The sequence below is a fragment of the Homo sapiens genome, chromosome 10, assembly GCF_000001405.40.
Source record: "Homo sapiens chromosome 10, GRCh38.p14 Primary Assembly".
Classification (NCBI taxonomy): Eukaryota; Metazoa; Chordata; class Mammalia; order Primates; family Hominidae; genus Homo; species Homo sapiens.
In genome coordinates, this window is record NC_000010.11 from 24,847,656 (window position 1) to 24,873,731 (window position 26,076).

General features: G+C 41.5%; 1 protein-coding gene across 2 annotated transcripts in view; it reads right to left on the reverse strand.

Annotated features, from left to right (window-relative positions):
* Window positions 1-958: 958 nt before the first annotated feature.
* Window positions 959-26,076, reverse strand: part of PRTFDC1 (phosphoribosyl transferase domain containing 1) — a 103,993-nt gene continuing 78,875 nt past the window's right edge. The window contains exons 4-9 of one of the 2 annotated variants that reach the window (NM_020200.7): window positions 24,343-24,408; window positions 10,737-10,754; window positions 9,258-9,340; window positions 7,663-7,709; window positions 3,733-3,809; window positions 959-2,236 (exon numbers count right to left, since the gene is read on the reverse strand). In NM_020200.7, the coding sequence (NP_064585.1) occupies window positions 2,189-2,236; window positions 3,733-3,809; window positions 7,663-7,709; window positions 9,258-9,340; window positions 10,737-10,754; window positions 24,343-24,408 (339 nt within the window). In that variant the 3' untranslated portion in view covers window positions 959-2,188. The remainder of the gene's footprint in view (window positions 2,237-3,732; window positions 3,810-7,662; window positions 7,710-9,257; window positions 9,341-10,736; window positions 10,755-24,342; window positions 24,409-26,076) is intronic. The other variant, NM_001282786.2, reaches the window with a different exon arrangement.

A 26,076-nucleotide genomic window follows, 5' to 3' on the forward strand; every position in this document is an offset into this window, starting at 1 on the left:
TACACACACGCACACGCACACACACATACACACACACACACATACACATTTTCCCCCTTACAAATCAGCTTTGGAACACTAAATTAATAATGGATTTGTTATTAATCAAGTAATAAGTTTTGCATTTTTGGTTTAGAGTGAATAAACTCAGTGATATTAACTAGACATGAGTTTTGCAAGAGAAAAGGAAATACTATTTTTCCCAAGATGACTTTCTTGGCTATCACTGTCAAAATATTGTCTGGTAGGAAAAAACTGCAAGCATGATTAAACTTCTTGCATATTTAGTGAATTTTCAGCATTAACTATACAAGTCCTCACAATCTTGTGAGGTAGATCAATCTCCTTTCTAATTTGAATAAACAGACTGTCCTCAGAAAGGATACTGATGCTTACTAAAATTCAACGTTTTTAAGAAAACATTTTCATATTGCATACTTATGGATAATTTTACACTTAAAACCAAATGTGTGCCTGGATTTTTCTAGGTCCTCTGACATAAACATGGCATTGTGAAAAAAAAGCTATATTCAGAGTGTTAATTTTGGTATTTCAAGAAATTCGTCAGTCAGACACAATTATAAATCTAAGCTTGGGTACCAATGCTTCTGTGAAACAAAGCTAGAAGAGATTCCTTTTGCAGACTTATCCCTTGGGATATTTGGGTGTGGCTTGTTTTCTTCTCTGACCGAAACAAAGATATGCAGGAAAATCTTCTTTTACAACTAAAATTCCTTGTTCTCACAAACGAGCTTGAGGAAAAAAAAAAGCAGCAGATCTAGCCCAGCTTAATCATTTGCTTCTACTAGTGCATATATTGGATTTAATCCAAGTTAACAAAAATAAAGCCGCAGGATAGATACATGCAGTCGTATATTTAAGCTACTGACTCACATACATGTTAATGTCTGAAAGTATTTAAAAAATATGGAGGCGGAAGAAAAACAGTAAGAAGTGATAAAACATAACAAGTTTTCTTATTCTTTATTAGTTTAAAGGAAGCTAGAACCTAATAACAATACGCCACATACGGTTCAGAACCAAACAAAAGCTGCTTAGTTATTTATTTTGCATTTGCATTTTGTAGGAAGTGAGAAAAAAACAGCTCTATTGGGACTCAAGTTTATTTTCAATTAAAATCCCCATAAATTAGGAAATGTCTTATAAAACGGAGAAATTGGAAAAAAATGTTATTCAGAAAAAAACTTTCTTGAGTGTGCTTGTTTCCTGTAGCACCTTGGATTTTGTGATCAGTCTTTTAAAGATATTTTTTAAAAAATTCAACCTCTGTCTTCACATTTAGGACAGGGCATAACAGTGTCTTGTCCTTTCATGCAAATAAGAGGAAAAATTTATACTTGCTTAGTTTCGAGCATTGAAAGCACTCGCCCCTAATTCTGCCATTTGCTCATGTCCCACATGAATAAAAGGATACAGCTTAGAAACCAGGGCCTTGCTGCTATTGTATTTTTTTCTAATTAAAATTCAGAGTATTAAACACAGTTGAGTACATCCATGCATACATGACATACCGTCATCACATACCGGAAGCTCCAATCAAGAGCCCCGAGCAAAGCTCGTTTCATAACATCATTAAGATTCATTGTACACTGCGTTTCAGAAAGGCTTTGTCAAAGCAGATAATAATGGCCTGTCAGAAATGCACAAACAGAAATTTATATTAAATTGTCCTTTCCCTCCTTTTAAAATATGGGAATCTATTAATAGCTGCATTCCCGGTATAGGGGACTCAAGTCTTCAGTTAAAAAAAAGTCCCCAGCTTCTTAATATTGTAAGCTTATTACCAAAATAAGAGTATAAAAAGTTAAGTGAAAAATATTTGAGTAACTAGGTGGGGGTATTCCTGGGAATACTAATCAAATATAATGACTGTATCAAAACAAAGGAAGGCGGAGCTCAGGAGTGTGAAGGTAGATAGCATTGCTGAGTCACAAGGCGGAGTGTTTAATTTGGAACAAGTCAAATAAAAGCACTGCTTTCTTTTCCTTAGGAACCTTTGATACTCTTTATATTAACCTCAGAAAAGAAAGCTCTCTCATTTGAACATTTTTTTCTTTTATATCCTGCTGAGTGAAGATGCCTGGGGGGACAAACTTGACAGCTGGCTTCCCAAGTACAGGCGTAAATATGATGCTATCTGGGACTTTAGTGGTGAGAATTCATGTCTTTAGACTCGATATTTTTCTTTACCGTGCTCATTGATGACGCATATGTGCTGAAACAATAAAGGATTTAAACGCATCAGTTTCTTAACAAAATATGAGACACAGAAAAGGTGATGCAGTAATAACCGAATGCCATCCTGTAATTGGCTATTGATCATTTAAATAGAAATGTGTGTATTTATATGTGTGGGTAAAATCTAAAGAGACCCATTCAAGTGCTTGACAAAAGGTCCTTTGTGGTTTAGTTTGGAGATTCCTATTCTGAATCCGGCTCCCCAGGTCCCTAAAACCCAGAAATGCTGAGGGAGCTGTATGTTTAGCCCTGCTAGAAACAGAAGTCTCCTACTGGTAAGATGACAACTGCTTGGGTGAATGGAGAAATAACAGTGGCAAGCACAACATGGGCTCTTATTCAACCCTTTTTGGGCAACAAGCAAAGGGTTAGGAATATTTTGATTGAAAGCAACAGAAATGGGGCCAGGCTAATGTAAGCAAAAAAGGAGGATTTGGATGGGCTCAGTGGCCCCTGTCTGTAATCCCAGTACTTTGGGAGGCTGAGGTGGGAGCATGATTTGAAGCCAGGAGTTCAAGACCAGCCTGGACAGCATACGAAGACCCCATCTCTACAGCAAGTAAAAATATTAGCTAGGCATAGTGGCGTGTGCCTGTAGTCCCAGCTACTCAGGAGGCTGAGGCGGGAGGATCGCTTGAGCCTGGGAGTTCAAGGCTGCAGTGAGCTATGATTGCGTCACTGCACTCTAGCCTAGGTGAGACTGTGGAGTGAGACCCTGTGTCTTTAAAGAGGGGGGAGGGGGAATTTATTGGTGGAATACTGGGGTAGCTCTCAGAATCCAAGGATGAGCTGGGCAATGAAGCAACTAGAAGGCAGGAACAAGGGCAGCTCCAGAGACTTTCACCCATGGTGCTATGGATACTCTCTGGGGGCACTGCTATCCTAGTGGTTGAAGTCTGAACACACTCAGTCTCTGTGACTTTTGGTTTAAATTTCTAATTCCCAGGACAGAGAGACTGATTGGTCCACTATGGGTAAGTTGTCTACCTCTAGATCATGCAGTGTTGGTCAGGGTCACACAGCTGGGGTCCACACTGGGGGTCCACGTCTGTGTGGTGAGATCATTTCCCCCAAAGAGGGAAGAGTTATGAGCTGCATGCCACTGTAATTGAAACCTGCTAGAGTTCAAGCACTGACACAAACCAGTGTATAGAATATTGGCTATTGTTATGGTTGGTTGGGCACAGTCAATGACTATGGAGAAGAATCAGTGTCAAACCATAGTTCTGCTTTTAGCTTCCTATTTCTTTAGTACAAAATAGAGATAATCATAATTTGCCTCTATCATCCTGATACCTACCCTGCAGAATAGTAGTGGGAGTTAATTGGGAGTATGGATGCAATGTGCTCACCATACTCCTGACATAGAAGATACTCAATCAATAGCAGACATCACTAACACGCATTCAATACTTTTTTAAATTGTTAAGTTCTTATAAAAAGGGCGGTTAGGGATTTGCATGCAAGACTTACATTCAGATCTCTGAAGTATTCATTGTAATCTAAGGCATATCCCACCACAAATAAGTTTGGAATCTCAAATCCAGCATCTTAGCAGACAGAGAAAGAGAAAAAAAAAAAGGAACAAAATTTAGATTATATAAATGCAAGTCACCATATGCTGCTGTCGCCACTCAAACTTGAGGACCTTTCATTGAGGCAGGAGGGAGTGAGAAATGGTGAGAAATGCACACGATGAGCCCAAGAGGGACCTGGACCCGAAGGACTACTCGGGAGGAAGGAGGCAAGGCAAACAAGCCAACCTACAATGAAGAATGACTGATCTAGCATACAGAGTTGAGAAAGGGCTCAGGAAGCCTGGTGCATAACAAGAAATATGCATAATTGAGTCACGTGGCCCTGGTGTTCTAAAGCAAGCAGTATGCAGTGATACGATGCCAAAGGAAACACTCTCAACAACACAAAGGAAAGTTCAAGCAGAAGGCGTTACGACGCTGCATTATGTGAACAGGTGCGCGGGCCACAGCAACTAGAAAGCAATTCTCCCGCTGTACTCAGTGTCTTGGCTGTTTAAAGGGCTGGAAAGCAAAAGCCAGGACACAAGATGAAAGGCAACGGGATTGTTCAACTTGAGGAAGAGAATGTGGAGGTTGCATTAATGCTGGTCTTTGGGTTCATGATGCAGAGGATATTAATGAGCTCCCTACTGAGGGCAGAATGAGAGGAAATGGATTTAAGCACAGTGCAAGGTACTTATGAAAAGCAAAAGAAGATTCATTGAAAAGATGATGATTTTTTGTCAGAAAGGATTCTTTTTTTTTTTCTGAGACCGAGTCTCGCGATCTTGGCTTACTGCAGCCTCCACCACCAGGGTTCAAGCCATTCTCCTGCCTCAGTTTCCCGAGTAGCTGGGAAGACAGACGTGTGCCACCATGCCAGGCTAATTTTTGTAGTTTTAGTAGAGATGGGGTTTCACCATGTTGGCCAGGCCAGTCTCGAACTCTTGACCTCAAGTGATCCATCCGCCTCAGTCTCCCAAAGTGCTGGGATTACAGGCATGGGCCACTGAACCTGGCTATTTTTTGAGAAAGGATCTCACTCTGTTGTCCAGGCGTGTGATCATGGCTCACGGCAGCCTCTACCTCCACAGGCTCAGGAGATCCTCTCACCTCAGCCTCCTGAGTAGCTGGGACTACAGGCATGCAAAACTACGCCTGGCTAATACTTATTGGAGAGAATTCTTAAGGAACAGACAATAGCTCTCCTTCTTCAGAAGTCTTGAAACAGAATAAAGGTGCACTGGTCCAGTGATTTTCAAACTTGTTTCAGTGTTTTGGAATCTTACAGGTTTGTTTATTACAGTATTATAGATGAGAGATTTATTTGCTTACTTTTAATGGAAGTGTACTTGGGTACAGCCAGTGGGCTTATAGCCTGGGCAAAGTCATCTCCACAGTGACTATGACCAACGATGCTTTCACAAGAAGAAAACGACTGGTTCATGCTCATAGAAAGTACTGGAGGTACTTATTTTCTAGGGGGTTACATTATGGAGTCCCTTGCTAGGAAAATAAGTACTAGAGGTGAGGGACTTATTTTCTAGGGGGTTGCATTATGGAGTCCCTTGCTAGGAAGCCTGCTTGATTCCTCCAAACTGCAGAGTTTCTTGAAAAAAAGAGTAAGAGAGGAGAAGCAAGAGCAGAAGAGGTCAGAAGTTACATTGAGGAGAAAAGAAAGAATCAATCAGGAGAAAGGAACGCAAAGTACAAAGCCTCATAAATCCAGAGAGAAAGAAGGAACAGAGATTCTGAGCTAGCTAAAAGAATATGAAGCCGGGTGCGCACCTGCAGTCCCAGCTATTCAAGAGGCTGAGGCAGGAAGATCATTCGAGGCCAGGAGTTTGAGACCAGCCTAGGCAACAAAGTGAGATCCCATCTCAAAAAGAAAAAAAAAAGGTAAGGTGCAGTGGCTCACGCCTGTAATCCCAGCACTTTGAGAGGCTTAGGTGGGTGGATCACCTGAGGTCAGGAGTCCAAGACCAGCCTGGCCAACATGGTGAAACCCCATCTCTACTAAAAATACAAAAATTAGCCAGGTGTGGTGGTACCTGTAGTCCCAGCTACTTGGGAGGCTGAGGCAGGAGAATCACTTGAACCTGGGAGGCAGAAGTTGCAGTGAGCCAAGATCACGCCACTGCACTGGGCGACAGAGTCAGATTCCGTCTCAAATAATAATAATAATAATATGAGCAAATCCCAAGAAACCCTGTTTGTAACCAGGGTTATAATAATGACTTTATAGGGAGCAATGCAATCCTTCCATTAGGCAGGGCAACTCACACTGGGAAAATGAGAGCCCAAAGCCTATTTAGAAGGCCAAAACTTGAGATGTCATAGAATAAAAGGATGATGGATCAGCAGGACAATCATGAATCAGAGTGACCTATCCTTAGCTGGTAAATGCAGGCAGCTCCTACACTTACATTTGCAATAGCAGATGTTACTTGCAGATGTAGTGGAAGAGTCAGGGCAGTGACTGAAACCAGATTGCCTGGGCTTAATATTGGCCTGACACTCATGGCTACATGACTTTGGCAAGCTATTTAAGCTTGCTGTGCTCAATTTCCTCATCTGTAAAATAGGTACAACAACAGCTCCTACCTTTAGAGAGCTATTGTGTGGATGAAATGAGCTAATCTCTGTATAGCTCTTAGAATAGTGCATGGCACATCACGACCTCTTCCTAGTGTTAGCTGCTATTATTTTATTGCTGTTATTATAAGTGATATAAGAAATTTGTCATTGAAGTGAATGTTTTTCAACTTCAGTTAAAATCTTATTTATACACTGAGTATCCTGTACTATTTCCTTAGACAATTTCTGCTTAGTAACCGCATGCAACCTTGACTACATCCAGATTATACCTTTGATAATAGTAATAGATGAGAACATGCGATTGGGTCTCTCTGCCCAGAACTGACATGGTCCAGAGTTAACACATCCAGCACAGGCATGAAACTTGTTTTCAGAATGTAGAGTCACTGGCTAAATGTCGCTGGCATGTCACCCATCCATACTGCACTTCTCTTTCGCTAATGTTTGTTCAGCTTGCTGAAGAGAACTGTAGCCAAATTATCCCAGGAGCTTTGGAGCAAATGTAAGTTATAAAAATCAAGCTGAAGTCTGCCTATGCAAGTGAAAAAAAATCGCCTCTAGTGTTAGAATAATAAATAATTAGGCTGCGTGTTTATCCTTCTTGGTGTTAGAACTAGGCTTATTATGGGGAGAAGGGAGGAGAGTGTCCTAGATGAGGAAGCCCTAGAGAACACACATCTGAAGTCAAGTGTGAAGATGGTATCTAGAGATACCTGCTCTGCTAATTCTCTGTGTTACGGAGCTTTGGTTTGGAGGTGAAGGGGAGCTGTCTTAGATTTCCCCTTCTGTGCGTTACAATTCAGGCTTGCTAAAGGTCACCATTGTGCGTTGTCTGGTAATAGTTCCGGATGATGGCATAAGAATCCCTCTAAACCTCCATAGCACCTCTCCTTGTCTGACTGGTGAGAATAGAGGCCAAGGCGGGGATCCTATGTGTCTGAGTCAGTCCAGCGGGATCAGGTCTTCCTCTACTCCCTGAAACTTTTCAGCTGACTTCTCTGTAGTTAAGGTGCTGTGTGAAACATACAAATAAAAATACCCAATGCACGGAACAGAGTTCCTGTGAAAGATGCAAATTAGAACATTGAAGACCCTCATTTTGAAGGGTTCTGTTTTCCCTATCAAGGTGGGGGAGATCATGAGGAATCCGTGGGACTATCAGCCCTACACAGTTTCAAATCCACATGCAATGCTGTCAAATAGGAAACCAAAGATTCTTAAACATAAAATGAAACACCATAAGCACAAAACAAACAAACAAACAAACAAAAAACTGAAAAACACTTACAGTCAGGTCTAAAGCCGTCACTTCTGGATGTTCTCTTCACCAACAAACTACCATTAAAAAAGACATGCTTTAGTGAACCCAATCAAATCTCTATGAATTGTAAATAGAATCAAGCATCATTAAAAGATGTACTTGAAATACATATTTTGCTACTGTGGCACTATATAGATGGTTCTGGATAAAAAGAAGACAGCAGGTCAGGCACAGTGCTTACATCTGTAATCCCAGTGCTTTGGGAGGACAAGGTGGGAGGATCACTTGAGCCCAGAGTTCAAGACCAGTCTGGGCAACATAGCGAGACCCCTGTCTCTACAAAAAATTAAAAAATTTAGCTGGGTGTGGTGGCACCTGCCTGTAGTCCCAGCTACTTGGGAGGCTGAGGTGGGAGGATTGTTGTAGCCCAGGAGTTGAAGGCTGCAGTGAGCCTTGATTGCACTATTGCACTCCAGCCTAGGTGACAGAAAGAGACCCTGTCTCAAAAAGCAGATAAAATATAAAAAAACTTTTTAAAAAGGTAGCTGTCAGCCAGGCACAGTAGCTCATGCTTGTAATTCCAGCACTTTGGGAGGCCAAATCACTTGAGCTCATAAGTTTGAGACCAGCCTGGCCAACATGGTGAAAACCCATCTTTACTAAAAATACAAAAATTGGCTGGGCATGGTGGTACGTGTCTGCAGTCTCAGCTACATGGGAGTCTGAAGCAAGAGAATTGCTCGAACCCGGGAGGGTGAAGTTGCAGTGAGCTGAGATTGTACCACTGCACTCCAGCCTGGGTGACAGAGCAAGACTCCGTCTCAAAAAAAAAAAAAAAAAAAAAAAAAAAAGGTAGCTGTCCTAGCTACTCAGGAGGCTGAGGTGGGAGGATCACTTGAGCCCAGAAGTTTGAGGCTGCAGTGAGTTATGATCACACTACTGCCCTCCAGCTTGGGCTGGGCGACAGAGCAAGACCCTGTCTCATATTAAAGAATAAAAAAGAAAAAAAAAAAGGGCCGGGTGCAGTGGCTCGTGCCTGTAATCCTAGCACTTTGGGAGGCTGAGGCAGGCAGATCACTTGAGGTCAGGAGTTCCAGACCAGCCTGGCCAACATGGTGAAACCCCATCTCTGCTAAAAATACAAAAAATTAGCTGGGTGCAGTGGCAGGCGCCTGTAGTCCCAGCTACTCGGGAAGCTGAGGCATCAGAATTGTTTGAACCCAGGGGGTGGAGGTTGCAGTGAGCCGAGATTGTGCTACTGCACTCCAGCCCAGCCTGGGCAACAGAGCAAGACTCTGTCTCAAAACAAACAAACAAAGAACAAAAAAAATGAAGGGAGCGGAGCAATTGCACGGGGGCTCATCCAGCTGCTCCTGGAAACAGCTAATGGAGGCACAGTAAAGAGGAACTCAGAAACACGGCAAAGCACGTCTTCTTCCCTTACTTCTCTCAGGCTAGCAGTCAAGGGCTGTTTTTCAGTGTGGTCAAGCTGTAATACCCCAGGGGAAAAGGTCACTAGTTTGGAATATATTACACTCTTTGGAAAGAGCATCCTGTGTTAGCATCCCTTTTGGGCTTGCTTGGAAAACTAGAAATCACCATGCTATGAATGTCCAACTCACCTGGCTACCTTAATCATGTTGGGCTTGTATTTCTCTATATTGCTGAGTAGTGCTTTCATGGTCCTCCCAGTTCCGACAACATCCTTTGCAAAAAGGACAGATAAATTCAACAAAATGCATTTGAGCAGCACAATAGACTTTTCACCCAGGGAGATACTCCTGATTAATAATGCATCGTAATTAAAAATGCCATCCAATTTGGAGCCACAGTAGGAGGAAGAGTTGGTTATGTTTTATTTAGACAGGCGCTTCTTTCTGGAAGCTGAGTTTTGGGGAATCTACTGGAGACTCTTTCCTCCTTGAATCCTTTAGCTGTGTTGAAGGGCCAAATTTAGTCTTTGGACAGCATGTAGGACTCCTCGTTGAGTACACTTGGACTTGTGTCTGCACATTCAAGGACTAAATTTGGCCCTGAGTTTATGTAACACAATACAAGGCACATGAATTTTCATGGATATGTACATCTGAATACACTGAATGGATAAAAACCTCCCCCTTGTCCTCCCCCACTCAATGGGGGATTCTATGGCTGGGAAGTGAGAGGTGTCTGGACAGCAGCTGGTGACAGCCTGTGAATTCTGAGGGTCCACGGCTGCAGTGAGCTCGGGCTCATCTCTGCTGATGAGCTGCTGCACAATTAGAGGAGAATGGGCAGCGGCGATTTATTGTCCTAAGGACAGGAATCAGCTGTCATGAGCTGATTATCAAAACAACAGGTCTGAATGTAGCCAGGGTTGGGCAATTCATTTGGTTAGAGGGTCTACTCCATGGGTTATACTGAGCAAGAACTCCAGATGCACATGGCGCACACAGGCAATTGTGTAACAAAAGGTTGAAAACAGCTCCCCTGAATTTTTTGCTGTTTGATGAGACAAGCGTGCTCCTGAAGGAAACGTGGCCATTTGCTGTATTAGTCCACTACTGCCATAGGGATCCCACGTTCTCTTTTCTCTCTTTTTTTTAACAGAAAAACAAAAGTTAAAAAAAACGAAAAACGAAAAACAAAAAAACATAGCTTTCCCCATAGCTCGTCATTTTTAATTGATTGTGTTTATGATTTTGATGCTGAAAGTATTTGAGAATTCTTGAAATCATCAGAGGTCCTTAGCAAAGACACTGAATTCAGGGTAAACAGAGTTCTAACCTTGGTTTTACTGTGAAATGAATTTGGTTCAGTGAGCTAGTTTCCTCTTCTTTAAAGTTGTCTGATTCACAAAGAAGTATAAGAATCAACACAGAGATATGTGGAACTGGATACACAAAAAGGATAAAGTCGCCCACAAATACTGTTGCAAAGCTTTTATTCTACATTATTTGAAATCAGGGACGCTATCTGGCCCCTATTCATTAAATTTGGAGAGCATGCACCCAGTGGGAGCTCAAGAAATCCTTGGTCAATTTGATAACAAGGTTTACCGTTTAAAACTCACCATTAGATTCTTTCAACCTCCAAGTATGGAAAAGGAAATGCCAGCTTACCTCAACAATGAGAACATTCTGAAATAAACAAAACCCATATTTTAGAATGTGATGCCAATCTGACTCACAGGATACATACACATTTTTTTGCTTATAGTTAGAATTTCACAATTTACTTAGACGGTCCTTCCCCATCCATCTAATTCAAAGGACTAGAGGTGATCTAGGTTTTCCAGATTCATTTTAACAGGTCCTCTGGAATTAGTTGGTGGTGCAATATTAGTATCTATATTTAGGTTAGAAGCAAGCTTATCTTAGACCTGTCTGACGAGCTCTCCATAAAGTCATCCCATTTCAGTAATTCTGCCAAGGGCCTCCCACCCCCAGCATTCCCTTGGGAGGCAAAGCCTGTTGAGAGTTTACCAGGAAAACAATGCAACATGAACTGCATTGCTAATGGAGACCGTGCTCGGTAAATGCATCATGGGTTCAGCTGTGACAGCCTTACTCTTGCACAGCCACGAAAATCCCTGGGGACTCAGGATTTCCTCTTGGATTGTCAACCTAGATGAAGAGGGTAGGCTAGAGAAAGGGCTGGGAGGTGCCTGGTCTGTATTTTTAGCGAGCTGGTTAGATTCTTTGCAACAAGCTCTCAAGGCATTCCTCTACCTCTCCCCTAAGAACACTGTGATATGGTTTGGATCTGTGTCCCTGCACAAATCTCATGTTGAAGTGTAATTCTCAGTGCTCGAGGCGGGGCCTGGTGGGAGGTGACTGGATCACGGGGGTGGGTCTCATGAATGGTTTAGCATCATCATGCCCCTTGGTGGTGTTGTATCTGGTTGTTTAAAGGTGTATGACACCTCCCCCTCTTTCTCTTGCTCCATATCTGTCTCCAGACATCTGAAGTGCTGCTCTCCCTTTGCCTCTGCCATAATTTTTTTTTGAGACAGGGTCCCACTCTGTCACCCAGGCTGGAGTGCAGTAGTGCTATCTCCGTTCACTGTAACCTCCGCTTCCCGGGTTCAATCGATTCTCCCACCTCACCTTCCCACGTGGCTGGGATTATAGGTATGCACCACCACGCCTGGCTAATTTTTGTATTTTTAGTAGAGATGGAGTTTTACCATGTTGGCCAGGCTGAGCTCAAGTGATCTGCCCTCCTTGGCCTTCCAAAGTGCTGGAATTACAGGCACGAGCCGCCACACCCAGCCACCTTCTGTCACAGTTTTAAGTTTCCTGAAGCCTCCCTAGAAGCAGAACAGATGCCAGCACCATGCTTCCTATACAGCCTGCGGAACTGTGAGCCAATTACACCTTTTCTCTTTATAAATTACCCAGTCTCAGGTATTTCTTTATGTCAGTGTGAGGAAGGACTAATACACGATGATTGTACTGCATTTTAATTTCTTGTTTGATATCTGTCTTCCCCACTATATTCTAATCTCCATGAGGTTGGGATCATGTTTGTCTTGATTCCTACCGCATTGCCAGAAACTAGCATAATGCCTGCATATAAATGCTCAATAATTATTTGTTGAATAAAGCAATAATAACTGATTAAACTTATTACTGAGTTAAAACTGACTGATTAATTGGATTAGCAGTGACATGTTAATGCTGCCCCACCAAATTAAAATATGACTGTTAATATGCCATCCCAGTTTACTAAATGGTGAGACTATCCTTTCAACGTAATGGTGTTTCTCTTTCTTCAGATGATGTTTCATTTATCTCTATGATTTATACAATACTTTAAGAATCATGGCCTGGCACAGTGGCTCACGTCTGTAATCCCAGCACTTTAGGAGGCCGAGGTGGGTGGATCACCTGAGGTCAGGAGTTCAAGACCAGCCTGGCCAATTTGGTGAAACCCCGTCTCTACTAAAATATACAAAAATTAGCTGGGTGTGGTGGTAGGTGACTGTAATCCCAGCTACTCAGGAGGCTGAGGCGGGAGAATCACTTGAAACCGGGAGGCGGAGGTTGCAGTGAACCAAGATTGCACCACTGCACTCCAGCCTGGATGACAGGGTGAGACTCCATCTCAAAAGAAAAAAAGAAAAATCAGATCAAATACTACACATTCGATAACTTACTTATGTTTAATGCAAGATTTAATTAATAAAAATGTTAACCACCCAACCACCAAACCAGCCGACCAACAACTCTGTTAACTTTGCACCGTATATCAAACACATTCTTATGTTAAAATAACTTCTTGGAAGTGTTTTTCTGTCAGTTATGACATTTTTATTCATTAAATCCATTGAAAATCTTAATTTTATCATGGAAATGTATAAGATTATTTTGTCCATTTTTGAAGCAGGGCATGCCACGTTACCCTCCACTCTTTCAGTATATTTCAGTGTATTGAAACCCCTTCTCTAACAAAAAATACAAGAGTCATACTGCCAGGGGAGTCCTCTTGGTATTTTCAACAAGAATTTCTATGATCCTAACAACCAATTTGCAGTAGTTACTTGATATGTGCATTTTTAGTTTGATTGACGCTTACCAATCAGACCTATAAACCAACCAGAATACTTGGAGAATGTTGTGGTTAATTTAATTTTCTGGCTCACAATCTCTTTTTGTTTCAACTTTAAAAAGAAAAACCTTTCTAAAATGTGTTAGTCTGCATTCCTGCCTAATTAAGTAGAGTGTATGTGTTGAATGTAATTAAATATTTTTTTGACAGTACAGAACCTTGCAAAACAATAGAGTCATCTTTGAAAAGATTAGCTTCAATTCTAAGATATAGTGGTAAGTGGGAAGTAGGATTTGGATGTATACTGATATTGAGAGATATTGAAAGACACTGTCAAAATTATTCAAATACATCTTCAAATCAAGGTAATGCATACACATGTTTAAAATAGATTGAGGCCAGGCGCCGTGGCTCACACCTGTAATCCCAGCACTCTGGGAGGCTGAGGCGGGCAAATCACCTGAGGTCAGGAGTTCGAGAGCAGCCTGGCCAGTATATTGAAACCCCTTCTGTACCAAAAAATATAAAAATTAGCTGGGCTTGGTGGCCAGCCTGCAGTCCTAGCCACTTGGGAGATTGAGGCAGGAGAAGTGCCTGCACCTGGGAAGTGGAGGTTGCAGTGAGCTGAGATGGTGCCACTGCACTCCAGCCTGGGCAACAGAGTAAGACTCTATCTCAAAACAAAAAACAAAAACAAACAAACAAACAAACAAAAAACCAAATCAAATAGATTGAAAGGTTTTTAAAAGAAAAACACCCCTCCATCACTTCACCTCTGTTTGCTCCCAATTTTGCTTCCCAGAGACAGTCACTTTTAACTCTTTTAGCTGTTTTTCTGCTTGTTACTTTTTTATTTCTAAAAAATAGACTTAGTCATGTTTCACATAGCTATTTCTGTACTTAAAAACATATTTAAATCATTTATTGACTTTTAGGTTGCTTGTTTCTTAAAAAGGGTTTAAGTACAAATGCGTATTTTTAAATTTTATTTTTATTTTTTAGAGACAGGATCTCGATCATAGCTCCCTGTAACCTTGAACTTCTGGCCTCAAGTGATCCTCCCTCCTCAGCCTCCCAGAGTGCTAGGATTACAGGCATGAGCCACTGCGCCCAGCCGTGTATTCATTCTTATTATAGAAAGTGCACATATTTCCTTACATATAAATATATACCTGTCAAAGAAAGTTTGTACTTTCTATAATATATAAATATAAAACATTATAAAATGCTTGAAAACCAGAAAAGTCTAAAGACTTTCTAAATTTTTGATACATGCTTAACTGTTTAAAGTATATAAAATTTTTATGTGCTTTAAAATAGATTAAAGGTATCATGAATTCTTTATTATGTATAGCCAAACTATTATAACATCCAACAAAAATGATGATAATTTCTTAACATCATATAAAGCCTACTATATATTCAAATTTCCCCAGTTGTCCTTAAAATGGCCTTTGTAGCTGGTTTATCCAACCTATACCATGGATTGGATCTTCCCTTCTCTTTTAATTTAGAACAGTCTCTTTTGCAGTATAGGCATACCTTGTTTTTTACATTTCTCTTTTTTTTTGTGATGAAGTCTCACTCTATTGCCCAGGCTGGAGTGCAATGGCGCGATCTTGGCTCACTGCAACCTCTGCCTCTTGGGTTCAAGTGATTCTACTGCCTCAGCCTCCCGAGTAGCTGGGATTACAAGTGTGCACCATCACGCATGCATAATTTTTGTATTTTTAGTAGAGATGGGGTTTCACCATGTTGGCCAGGCTGGTCTTGAATTTCTGACCTCAGGTGATCTGCCCCTCTTGGCCTCCCAAATTTCTCTTTATTGCACCTTACAGAGACTGTGGTTTTTTTTTGTTTTTGTTTCTGTTTTACAAATTGAAGGTTTATGGCAACCCTGTGTTGAGCACGTGTATTGGTGTCATTTTTCTGACAGTGTGTACTCACTTTGTGTCTCTGTGTCATATTCTGGAAATTCTTGCAATATTTCAAATACTTTCATTGTCATTGTGGTTATGGTGATCTGGGATCAGCGATCTTTAATGTACTATTTGTTTTTATTTTATTTCTTTTGAGACAGAGTCTTGCTCTGTTGCCCAGGCTGGAGTGCAGTGGCACAATCTCGGCTCACAGCAACCTCTGCCTCCTGGGTTCAAGCAATTCTCCTGCCTCAGCCTCCCAAGTAGCTGGGATTACAGGTGCACGCCGGATGCCCAGCTAATTTTTTTGTATTTTTAGTAGAGAAGGGGTTTCACCCTGTTGGCCAGGCTGGTCTTGAACTCCTGACCTCAGGTGATCCGCTGGCTTGGCCTCCCAAAGTGCTGGGATTAGAGGTGTGAGTCACTGTGACGCCCCCTAGACTGACTCCTTTTAGGGACTAATGCAGCTGGTGACTTTAAGTTGAAGTCAATGCTCACTTACCATTCCAAAAATGCTAGGGTGCTTAAAATGATGCTAAATCAACTTTGCCTGTGTTCTATAAATGGAGCAGCAAAGCCTGTTTATATAGGCACATCTGCTTACAACATGCTTACAGCATGGTTTATTGAAATGAATATTTTATGGCCATTCTTGAGACCTACTGCGCAGAAAACAAGATTCCTTTCAAAATATTATGCTCATTAACAATCTACCTGGTCACCTAAGAGCTCTGATGGAGATGTTTACAAGGAGATTATTTTCATGCCTGCTAACACAACATCCATTTTGCAGCCCATAGAGTCATTTAAACTTTCAAGTCTTATTATTTAAGAAATAGATTTTGTAAGGTGATAGCTGCCCATAGATAGTGATTCCTCTGATGGATCTGGGTAAAGTAAATTGAAAACCTGAAGATCCACCATTCTAGATGCCATTCAGAGCATTCATCGTCCATGAGTGGAGATCAAAATATTAACATGAGTAGGAGTTTGGAAGAAGTTGATTCCGACCCTCATGCATAACTTTGAGGGGCCCAAGGTTTCAGTGGAGAGGCCAAGGGCGGTGGCTGCTACAGGTAATCCTAGCACTTTGGGAGGCTGAGGTGGGCGGATTGCTTGAGCCCAGTAGTTTGAGACCAGCCTGGGCAACGTGGCAAAACCCTGTCTCTACAAAAAATGAGGTGGGAGGATCACCTGAGCCTGGGGAGGTAGAGGCTGTGGTGAGCCATGACTATGCCACTGCACACCAGCGACAGAGCAACAACTCGTCTCAAAAAAAAAAAAAAAAAAAGACTTTAGTGGAGGAAGTACCTGCAGATGTGGTGGCAATAGCAAGAGAAACTGAATTAGAAGTGGAGCCTGAAGATGTGACTGAATTGCTGTAACCTGATGATCAAACTTGAACAGATAAGGAGTTGCTTCTTATGGATGAGCAAAGGAAGTGATTTCTTGAGATGGAATTTACTCCTGGTGAAGATGCTGTGAACATTGTTGAAATGACAACAAAGGGTTTAAAATATTATATATACTTAGTTGATAAAGCAGTAGCATGGCTGGAGAGGATTAACTTCAATTTTGAAAGAAGTTCTACTGTGGGTAAAATGCTATCAAACAGCATCACAATCTACAGAGAAATCTTTCATGAAAGGAAGAGTCAATCTAAGCAGTGAACTTCACTGTTGTCTTGTTTTAAGAAATTGCTACAGCCACCCCAACCTTCTGAAGCACCCACCAGCCTGATCAGTCAGCAGCCATCAACATCGTGGCAAGACCCTCCACCAGCAAAAAGATGATGACTCACTGAAGGCTCAGATGATCATTAGCATTGTTTTTTAGCAATGAAGTAGTTTTTCATTAAGTTATGTGCCTTATTTTTTAGACATAATGTTATCACACACTTAGTAGACTACCATACAGTATAAACATAAGTTTTATATGCACTGAAAAATCAAAAAATTTGTGTGGCTCTCTTTATCGTGGTGATCTGAAACCAAATCCACAATAACTCTGAGATATGGCTGTGCCTAAGATTAGCTCAAAGAGCTAAGGAGCCAAAACTATTTATCTTTATATAATCAATATATAACATGGAGGCTGGGTGCGATGGCTCACACCTGTAATCCCAGCACTTTGGGAAGCCAAGACAGGCAGATTGCTTGAGGCCAGGAGTTTGAGAACATCCTAGCCAACATGGTGAACCTCTGTCTCTACTAAAAATATAAAAATTAGCCAGGCATGGTGGTGCACGCCTGTAGTCCCAGCTACTCGAGAGGCTGAGGCACAAGAATTGCTTAAACCGGAGAGGCAGAGGTTGCAGTGAGCTGAGATCGTGCCACTGCACTCCAGCCTGGGTGACAGAGTGAGACTCTGTCTCAACAAAACAAAACAAAACAAACGAACAAAAATACATAACATGGAGACTGGCATCTAGTAGGTACTCAAGAAATACCTGTGTAGTGAATCAACAATTTTGACCTCATTTCTTTCACTTTCTCTGGTTCATTGTATTTCTGATTCATCCCCTCCATTTTTCCTTAACAATCTGCAATTCCTCCTTAACCAAGCTATTATCAATGTCTATTGCTTTTAATTTTGCACTAAGCAATTTCCTAAAATTCAGGTTTTTTGAGTGGGCAACTTCTCTTTTCAGTACACACCATGCCTCCTAAACACTTCCAATCTGATAACTCTGATCACTGCATCTGAGATGTTTGCCAGTTACTGTCTTAGTCATCTCATCACACCTAGCTCATTTCCTCCCAGAAAGCCAGTAAAATCTGCAGCCTAGGAGCTGCAGGCAAAAACTCTATGAGGAATCTCTGGGGTGTGCTTTCTTTGCTGTTGCATGATTCTGATCAAAACTAATCACAAGGGGTTTCCTAACAAAAAAGAAAAAGAAAGGAAGAAAGAAGAAAAGAAGGGAGGAAAGAATTGCACAAACCTACATGATATTCTTAAATAGGTTATTCCTACTTCTAGTATTTTAGAGCACACAGTGATTTGCACACCACACCGTCTCATCTGCAGCAGTGTAGTTTGGTGGCCGTGATCACACTAATCAAGAGCAATGGCAGCAGTGACAATGAGCTGTATTGGGGATATGGAGAATGAGTAGGAATGTGAATATAAACCCCATGGAAAAGGGAATGTAGTTTAGCATTTCGTTTTATGTGATAATTCACAAAATTTCCAGAATCATCAGTCAGTGGGTCTTTCCATTATTGTTCTCAGCTTAGTCAGATGAAATAAAAAAAGAATGATTTAAACAGTTAAGGCAGCCAAGGGGGAACTTTTGGCAGTTTCCGATGCTTCACTCTGGCATTTAATTAGAATCTTAGGCTGGGCACAGTGGTTCATTCCTGTAATCTCAGCACTTTGGGAGGCTGAGGAGGGTGGATCACTTGAGGTCAGAAGTTTGAGACCAGCTTGACCAACTTGGTGAAACCCCATCTCTTCTAAAACTACAAAAATTAGCTGGGTATGGTGGTGGGCTCCTCTAATCCCAGCCACTCAGGAGGCTGAGGCAGGAGAATCGCTTGAACGTGGGAGGTGCAGGTTGCAGTGAGCTGAGATCGTACCACTGCACTCCAGCCTGGGCGATAGAGCGAGATTCTGCCTCAAAAAAAAAAAAAAAAAAAAGAAAAAAAAACTTATTTGAGGGCAGGTTTGGGGGGCATGTCTCCCAAAATCTTGGGCTTAACCTGCACATCTGTGTTTTCATGGTGCCAGATTTGAGCCTGTTTCCATGCATTTTGTTTTATTCCACCCTTTCAGAGGTTCCTCGTGAATATGAATAAAATCTTACTTTAATAGATACACACATTTTATGAAGTGCCAATATTAAATCAACTTTGGAAAAAAAATCAGCCAGAGAGTACATTGTGTAGACAGCTTAAACACACCGAATAAAATGCTTTTAACATCATGAACTGAAGAGGCCATTTAACTTAATCATTGAGGGCTCACTTTATTCAACAGCAATGACCTATTTAGAACCATGACTCAGACAGCTTCCCTTGTGAGCTTCCTTTCCTTGGAAGAAAAGAAAGAAAGAGAGAGAGAGAGAGAGAAAAGAAGAGAGAGAAAGGAAGAGAGAGAAAGGAATTTTAAAAAAAGCAAAAAAATACAAAAAGAAAGAAAAAGAGAGAAAGGAAGAGAGAAAGAAAGAGAACAAAAAAAGCAAGGAAGAGATGAGAAAGAAAGGTAGTTTCTCGGGGTTCAAAGTAAAAAATGTTTTATTTAAAAAAAAGAAAGGGAGAAAGAAATGGAAGAAAGAAAGAAAAAGAGAGATGGAGGGAGGGAGAGAGAGAGAGAGAGGGCTGTGTAGAGTCTCCTTTTTTTCTAAATATTTTAATCCCATGTCTTCAAGGGCTCCAGAAGTATTATACAGTTATGGGTTCATAATGCCTCTAACTCACAGCATGACAAGATTATGTAGGTGAGCTATTTCCCCATGTTTTATAGAGTTCTTTCATACACAAATTTAATTTTAAAAAATCCTTTCTAGCCCTCCCTCCTTCATTTAACTCTGTCACGGCTCCTTTTGATACCACGATTCCTTCTCTTCCACCCTAACTTGGCTCCTGTAGTTCAAGTGCTCCTGCAGGCTCCGCCTACCCCGCCTCCAAACTGCTCTCTCCTCTCTTTCAGCCATTCTTCCCTCTTGTCAGTTTCATTTTCCTAAAACACAGCTCCATGATGTCATCTCTGCTCAAATACTTTTGTGTCTCCTGTTTGCTTTGCTGAGCAAGTTCAGCTCTTCATTGAGACTTTCAATGTATTCTACACATCAAACCCCGTGTTTTCATTTTTTTTTTCCTACTACTTCCCTGTTTTTGATTAATTTCCTTCAGTCATGCTGGTCCACTTATGTCCAGTGATCCTACTCTTTTCTCGATTACCCCATTCCATATTTTTATTTTTATTAAGTTTTATTCTTGTTGTAGGCTTTGTGGAATTTTCTTCAAAGCCGTCACCTATTTATGAAGGATTAGGGCTAATTATTAGTGGGGGATAGGTTGCGGTATTGTATTAAATTTTGGTGGGGTTTTTGTAGGTTTAATTTTTTTTTTTTTTTTTTTAGACAGGGTCTTGCTCTGTCACCCAGGCTAGAGTGCAGTGGCATGATCTTGGCTCACTGCAACCTCTGCCTCCAGGGCTCAAGCAATTCTCTTGCCTCAGCTTGGATTAGAGGTGTGTGCCATCACGTCTGGCTAATTTTTGTATTTTTAGTAGAGACCGGGATCTTGCCATGTTGGCCAGGCTGGTCTCAAACTCCTGACCTCAAGTGATCCACTCGCCTCAGTCTCCCAAAGCGCTGGGATTACAGGCATGAGCTACCGTGGCTGGCTGGCTTAATGGTTTTTTAAATTTATTTGGAGGGAATGATCGTTGGTTTTGGGTACATGACAGTGATAGCTATGGAGGAGTACCTTGAGGCTTGGGGGTCAACTGTTGCCCTTGGGGGGCCCTTGCTCTCTTTTCTGTGTTAGTCACAAACCCTTCTATTCCAGGTAAAAGCTCACCCTCCCCTCTCTAAGACTATCTGAATCCTAAGGAATCCTTCATTCTTTGGATTTCTTTAAATCCAAGGAAAGAGTCTTGCATGGAAAGACCTATGGGGCTCTTCTTAGAGTGCCAAGCATGAAATAAGAGAAGGTGTGTTTCCTGGGAACAAATTCCTGGCAGAGTAATAACATGATGATAAATGTACTTTAAATGTAAGTTTACTGAATGACTGACAAATTGTATTATCACTACAGGAGAAAGGAGAAGTCACTGCAGTCTCAACCTCCTGAGCCCAAGTGATCACCCACCTTAGCCTCCTGAGTAGCTGAGTCTACAGGTGTGCACCACCATTTTAAATTATTAAATAAATTAAATTTTAAATTTCTTTTGTAGAGACACAGTCTCACTATGTTGCCCAGGCTGGTCTCAAACTCCTGGCCTCAACAATCCTTTCATCCACTGCAGATATTTATTGCAGTTTCAGACTTTCTTCTACACCCATTAAAACAAGTACCCACTAACTGTTGGGTGCCTTTTCCTTTTACATTTTTTTTTTTTTCCAGCTAGTGTATATTCTGCATGATGGGAAGATTTTGGAGAGCCTCTAAAACTTATTTCTAAAATCTTGCCAATCCTTATTTTTTAAATTTTATTTTTTCGTTGATACACAATGTTTTATGTATTTACGGAGTACATGAGTGTTTGTTACATGCATGGAATGCGTAATGAGCAGGTCAGGGTATTTGGGGTAGCCATTGCCTTGACTGTCTATTATTGCTATGTGTTGGGAACATTTCAAGTCTTCTAGCTACTTTGAAATATACAACACATTGCTGTTAACCATCGTCGCTCTACATTGCCATTGAATAGTGGGGCTTATTTGTTCTATCTAACTTAATTGATAACCTTTCACGGAGAGGCTGAATGAAGAATGAGTGAACAGCGTGGGTCATATGAAGGCCTTTATCTTTTTTTTTTTTAACCTTACTCATATCTTGTATTTTATTTCTTATGAAAATGGCTACCCAAAGAAGTCATTGTAGCAGCCTACTATCCTAAGGCAGCAACTATAATGTAAATGCTAACAAACTCACTCCATAAGACCAAAAACCCTTCCCCAGGGCTGTAATGGGCATTTAAGTTTCCCAAACCCAGTGACAACTAATGATTTTTATTACCTATCAAATGGAAACAAATGGATTTTAATAGTTCCCCTACAGCTGAAAAACTCCACAAACAATACATTGCCTCTACCTACATGATCCGTTGACTCATGCCAGAAATAGCTTCTAAAACATTTACAACTGTGATGCTCAAACTGGGCTCTGGCTACTTCTGGTGGTTATTTGGTGTTATGCCAAGGCATATTGGAAGGCCTTTATCTTTTTTAAGGAAAAGGAAATTTTAAAAGCTAAGTGAAATTTTTTTCACTGTTCCACCTCAGCTGTGTTGCATTCACTTCCTCAGTCCCCGTTGAATCTCCTATGAGGAAGCCTTTCTGCCTCAACAAAGAGGGTGCTCCTCCCTCACTCAGCACCTTTCTCTCCACCTCTCAACTAACCAGCTGGTGGGTGTGTCCTTGGGTGTGACCATGTGGGCTTATTTACCATTTCCCTCTGCCCTGTCCTCTCTTACCCCAAACTAATCAAAGACTTCTTTCTAATTTCTATATAAGAGGACCATCCACTTGTTCAGTCACCAAATATTTATTCCAATTTGTTATGGACCAGGTATGGTCTCTGCCCACTTCATGCTGACTTCCTGGTTGGGGAGACAGGCAAATAAAAAATAAGCCCTAAGGTAAACATTGCAACTTGTGGAAAGGGCTCTAGTGGAAACAAGGTATGGATATACAGATTATTATTATTATTTTTTTAAGGGACAGAGTCTTGTTCTGTCGCCCAGGCTGGAGTGCACTGGTGCCATCATAGCTCACTGCAGCCTTAACTCTTGAGCTTAAGTGATCCTCTTCCTCAGCCTCCCAAGTAGCTGGGATTACAGGTGTGCACCACCATGCCTGGCTAATTTTCGTATTTTTAGTAGAGACAGGGTTTTGCTATGTTGGCCTGGCAGGTCTCCAACTTCCGACCTCAAATGATCTGCCCATCTCGGCCTCTGAAAGTGCTGGGATTGCAGGCATGAGCCACCATGCCCAGCCGTCTATGTGCAAATTTCTTCTTGGCATTCATTTGGGAATTTTAGAGTTGTCACTTTGACAGACTCCATAGCAAAAGCACAAGGTAAACTATTTCTTTTGTGTAATAAACCTGTAAGGCAGTGTCCTACAATAAAATGCTAAAATGACGTATTAGCTAAAGACCACTCCAGGGTCGTTAAAACTTATGAATTTCTGGAAATTACTTTGAGTATTTTAGCTTTCTAGGATGTTGTTTTATGCACCAATGTAACAGTAACATCAAATGGTGGCTTAGTGATGCATTAACAGCAACAAGTTAATTCTGATTTTTATGGAACACAATTTACTGCTAGATAGCCATTTAACACATAGATCTACTATGCTGTCTTCAGAGTAGAGGGAAGTGCACTGTTTTGTAGTCAGAGTCCTTGTGGCTCCACTTTGGGCAGCCGAAACAGGTGGATCACTTGAGGTCAGGAGTTTGAGACCCGCCTGGCCAACATGGTGAAACCCCGTCTCTACTAAAAATACAAAAATTACCCGGGCATGGTGGCAGGTGCCTGTAATCCCAGCTACTTGGGAGGCTGAGGCAGGGGAATCATTTGAAACCAGGAGGTGGAGGTTGCAGTGAGCTGAGATCACGCCAGTGCACTCCAACCTGGGGACAGAGCAAGACTCTGTCTAAAAAAAAAAAAAAAAAAAAAGTCCTTGTGGCTCTATAGCCATCCTATGATTATTACACATATTTTTATGAAATGTGGCTGCTATTTTTTTCCCTACCCGGGCATTGCATAACGATAACAAGCACAAGTATGAGAGATTAAGCTTGTGTAATAGACTAATCCATTTAACTTAGAAAGCCAAGCAGTTCAGGGATAAGGAATACAAGCTAGGTCAGTACGGCTGAACAAAAACAAATTCCGGATTGCTTTTATTCACAGCAAATGTGCATTTCAAGTAACATTCCACGAACATCATCTTCGTTAGGAAACAACTCTTCTTTCCAGTTTATGTATTTCTGTCAGATCTAAACAGTCTTTTCACTTAATTATTAAGCACTGGCAGATTTGGAACTCCAAGTTAAAACTGGAGGTGTTCTTCCTATTATCTAATAGTTTACATTGTTTTTAATAGAAAAAAAGGCAAAGTGCTGAAAACGCACTCTTAAGAGTTCCTTTTCTCTTCCCTCCCCAGATTTTGTACTTGTCAATGAACCTGTGTAAATGTCTTACTGACGTGCCTGGGTGCAGAGGATGGATGAAAAAAAAAAAAAAGGCAGACGAATAAATAAAGGGAAAGCTTCCTTTTCAGAAGGTGCCTGGAAAGATGAGTAGAAAAGGATTAGAACAAGGTGGGCAAAGGGGTTTTGCTGTCTGAAACAAGATTGGAAGGAAGCTCGGAGAAGAAAGATTTGGTCTGCATGGTGTCTTGGAAGCATTCTAAAAAGAATGTTTTAGAAAGGGGAGATCATTAAAAGGATTCACGCAGCCATTTGTATGAATTGGAAAACCCGGGAGCATGTCTGAAATGTCCTGTGAGTGCTGACCTGAAATGCAGGTCACCGATGCCCCCAGACCTCAATGCGGTCTGAGCACAGTTACATGAACAAACCTTTCCAGCCAGCGTTGAAAGATCATCGCCTCCGATTATCTGCATCTCACCCATGGACTGGTCATTCTGCAAAAAAGAAGAAAAAAAAGGGAGACAATTTTACCGCACAAGAAAACCTTTAAAGCACATTTTCCTGTCTACCCAGTTAGTGGCCGGAATGTGCCTTACAAATATAGCACAAATAGCTAATAGGGATTCATGGTTGCCTATGGTTACCAAGAGCCATGCTCCTGCTACTGCCCTTGAGACAAAGCTTTCTAATGGCTGGCAGGGAGAGGCTGGGTGTGCAGGGGGAGTGGGAGAGAGGAGAGAGGACAGACAAATCTAACATGAAACAAAACACTCTGGAAGGTGTCTGAGCCTATCCTGGAGCAGAGAAAATTGGAGAAGACAGTCATGCTTCTGTGTTTTGCCTAGCTGGGGGTGGACTGAGTATGTGTCAGCTTTGCCACCAAGCTCTGATTAAAGATCTGCAGTGGAGAACAGTCAGATTCTGATTCCCTGAGAGACCGGAGGCCTCCTCTACTCCCCGCCATTGGAGATCCAGCCCCTCATCTGACATCCAGGGCAATTCTAACAGGCCATGAATCAAGAAGTATTGCACTTAGACCTTCTGACATGAATGATGAGGTCTCAGCCAATTTCTGCAGTCCTAAGAATATGACACTCAGAACTATACGTGTGTGTGTGTATATATATATATACACAAAATATATATAATACACAAAATATATATATATATACAAATATATGTGCACACGTGTGTGTGTATATATATATGTGTGTGTGTGTATATATATATATATATATTTTTTTTTTTTTTTTTTTTTGAGACAGGGTCTCACTTTTGGCCAGGCTGAAGTGCAGTGGGGTGATCCTAGCTCATTGCAGCCTCAATCTCCCAGGCTCAAGCAATCCTTCTGTCTCGGCTTCCCAAGTAGCTGAGACTACAGACAGGCACATACCACAGTGCCTGGCTAATTTTTTTCTTAATTTATTTTTATTTTTAGTACAGAAAAAGTCTTGCTATGTTGTCCAGACTGGTCTTGAACTCCCGAGCCCAAGTGATTCTCCTGTCTTGGCCTCCCAAAGTGCTGGGATTACAGATAGGCGCCACCATGCCTGGCCTCAGAGCCATATTTAGAAGACTTTTCATTCAAATCCTGTTAGAGTTTATGATCATTTACTTTCATCATGTTTATGTATGGTATATTATCCTGTCCTAATGAAACCTCACAAAACAAACAAACAAACAAAATGGATTGTTACATAGTGACCATCATGATAGAATGACACAGAGGCAAAACAAGAAACAGAACCAGCCACTTGTCTCCCAGCCTCATTACAGACCCACATTAAAGGAACCAAAGCCGATACATTCCGGCAGTCTGCTTCATGACCAAGCAAGAATGCTGTGATGTTGCAATCCCTTGATTCTAACAATAACCTTGGGGAGAAAAAAACAATATACGCACCATATGTGCTACATGCTGAACCAGGAAACGTCTTTAGTTACTGCTGTGGACAGCTGTCACTTTTGCTAGCTCAGCACCTTTCCTCCTAAAGAGGCCCTCCCTCTTCCTGGGGGGAGTCCATTCCACATGGTTCAGGTAGGGCCAGGCCTTTGCAGTGCAGGCCAACCAGCTGGGCCTGAAGCTATACCCAGTCTCAGACTTCCCAGCTACTCAAGCCAATTCCCTTAGGAATTTTCTTGGGCTGGTTTGAATTGGATTC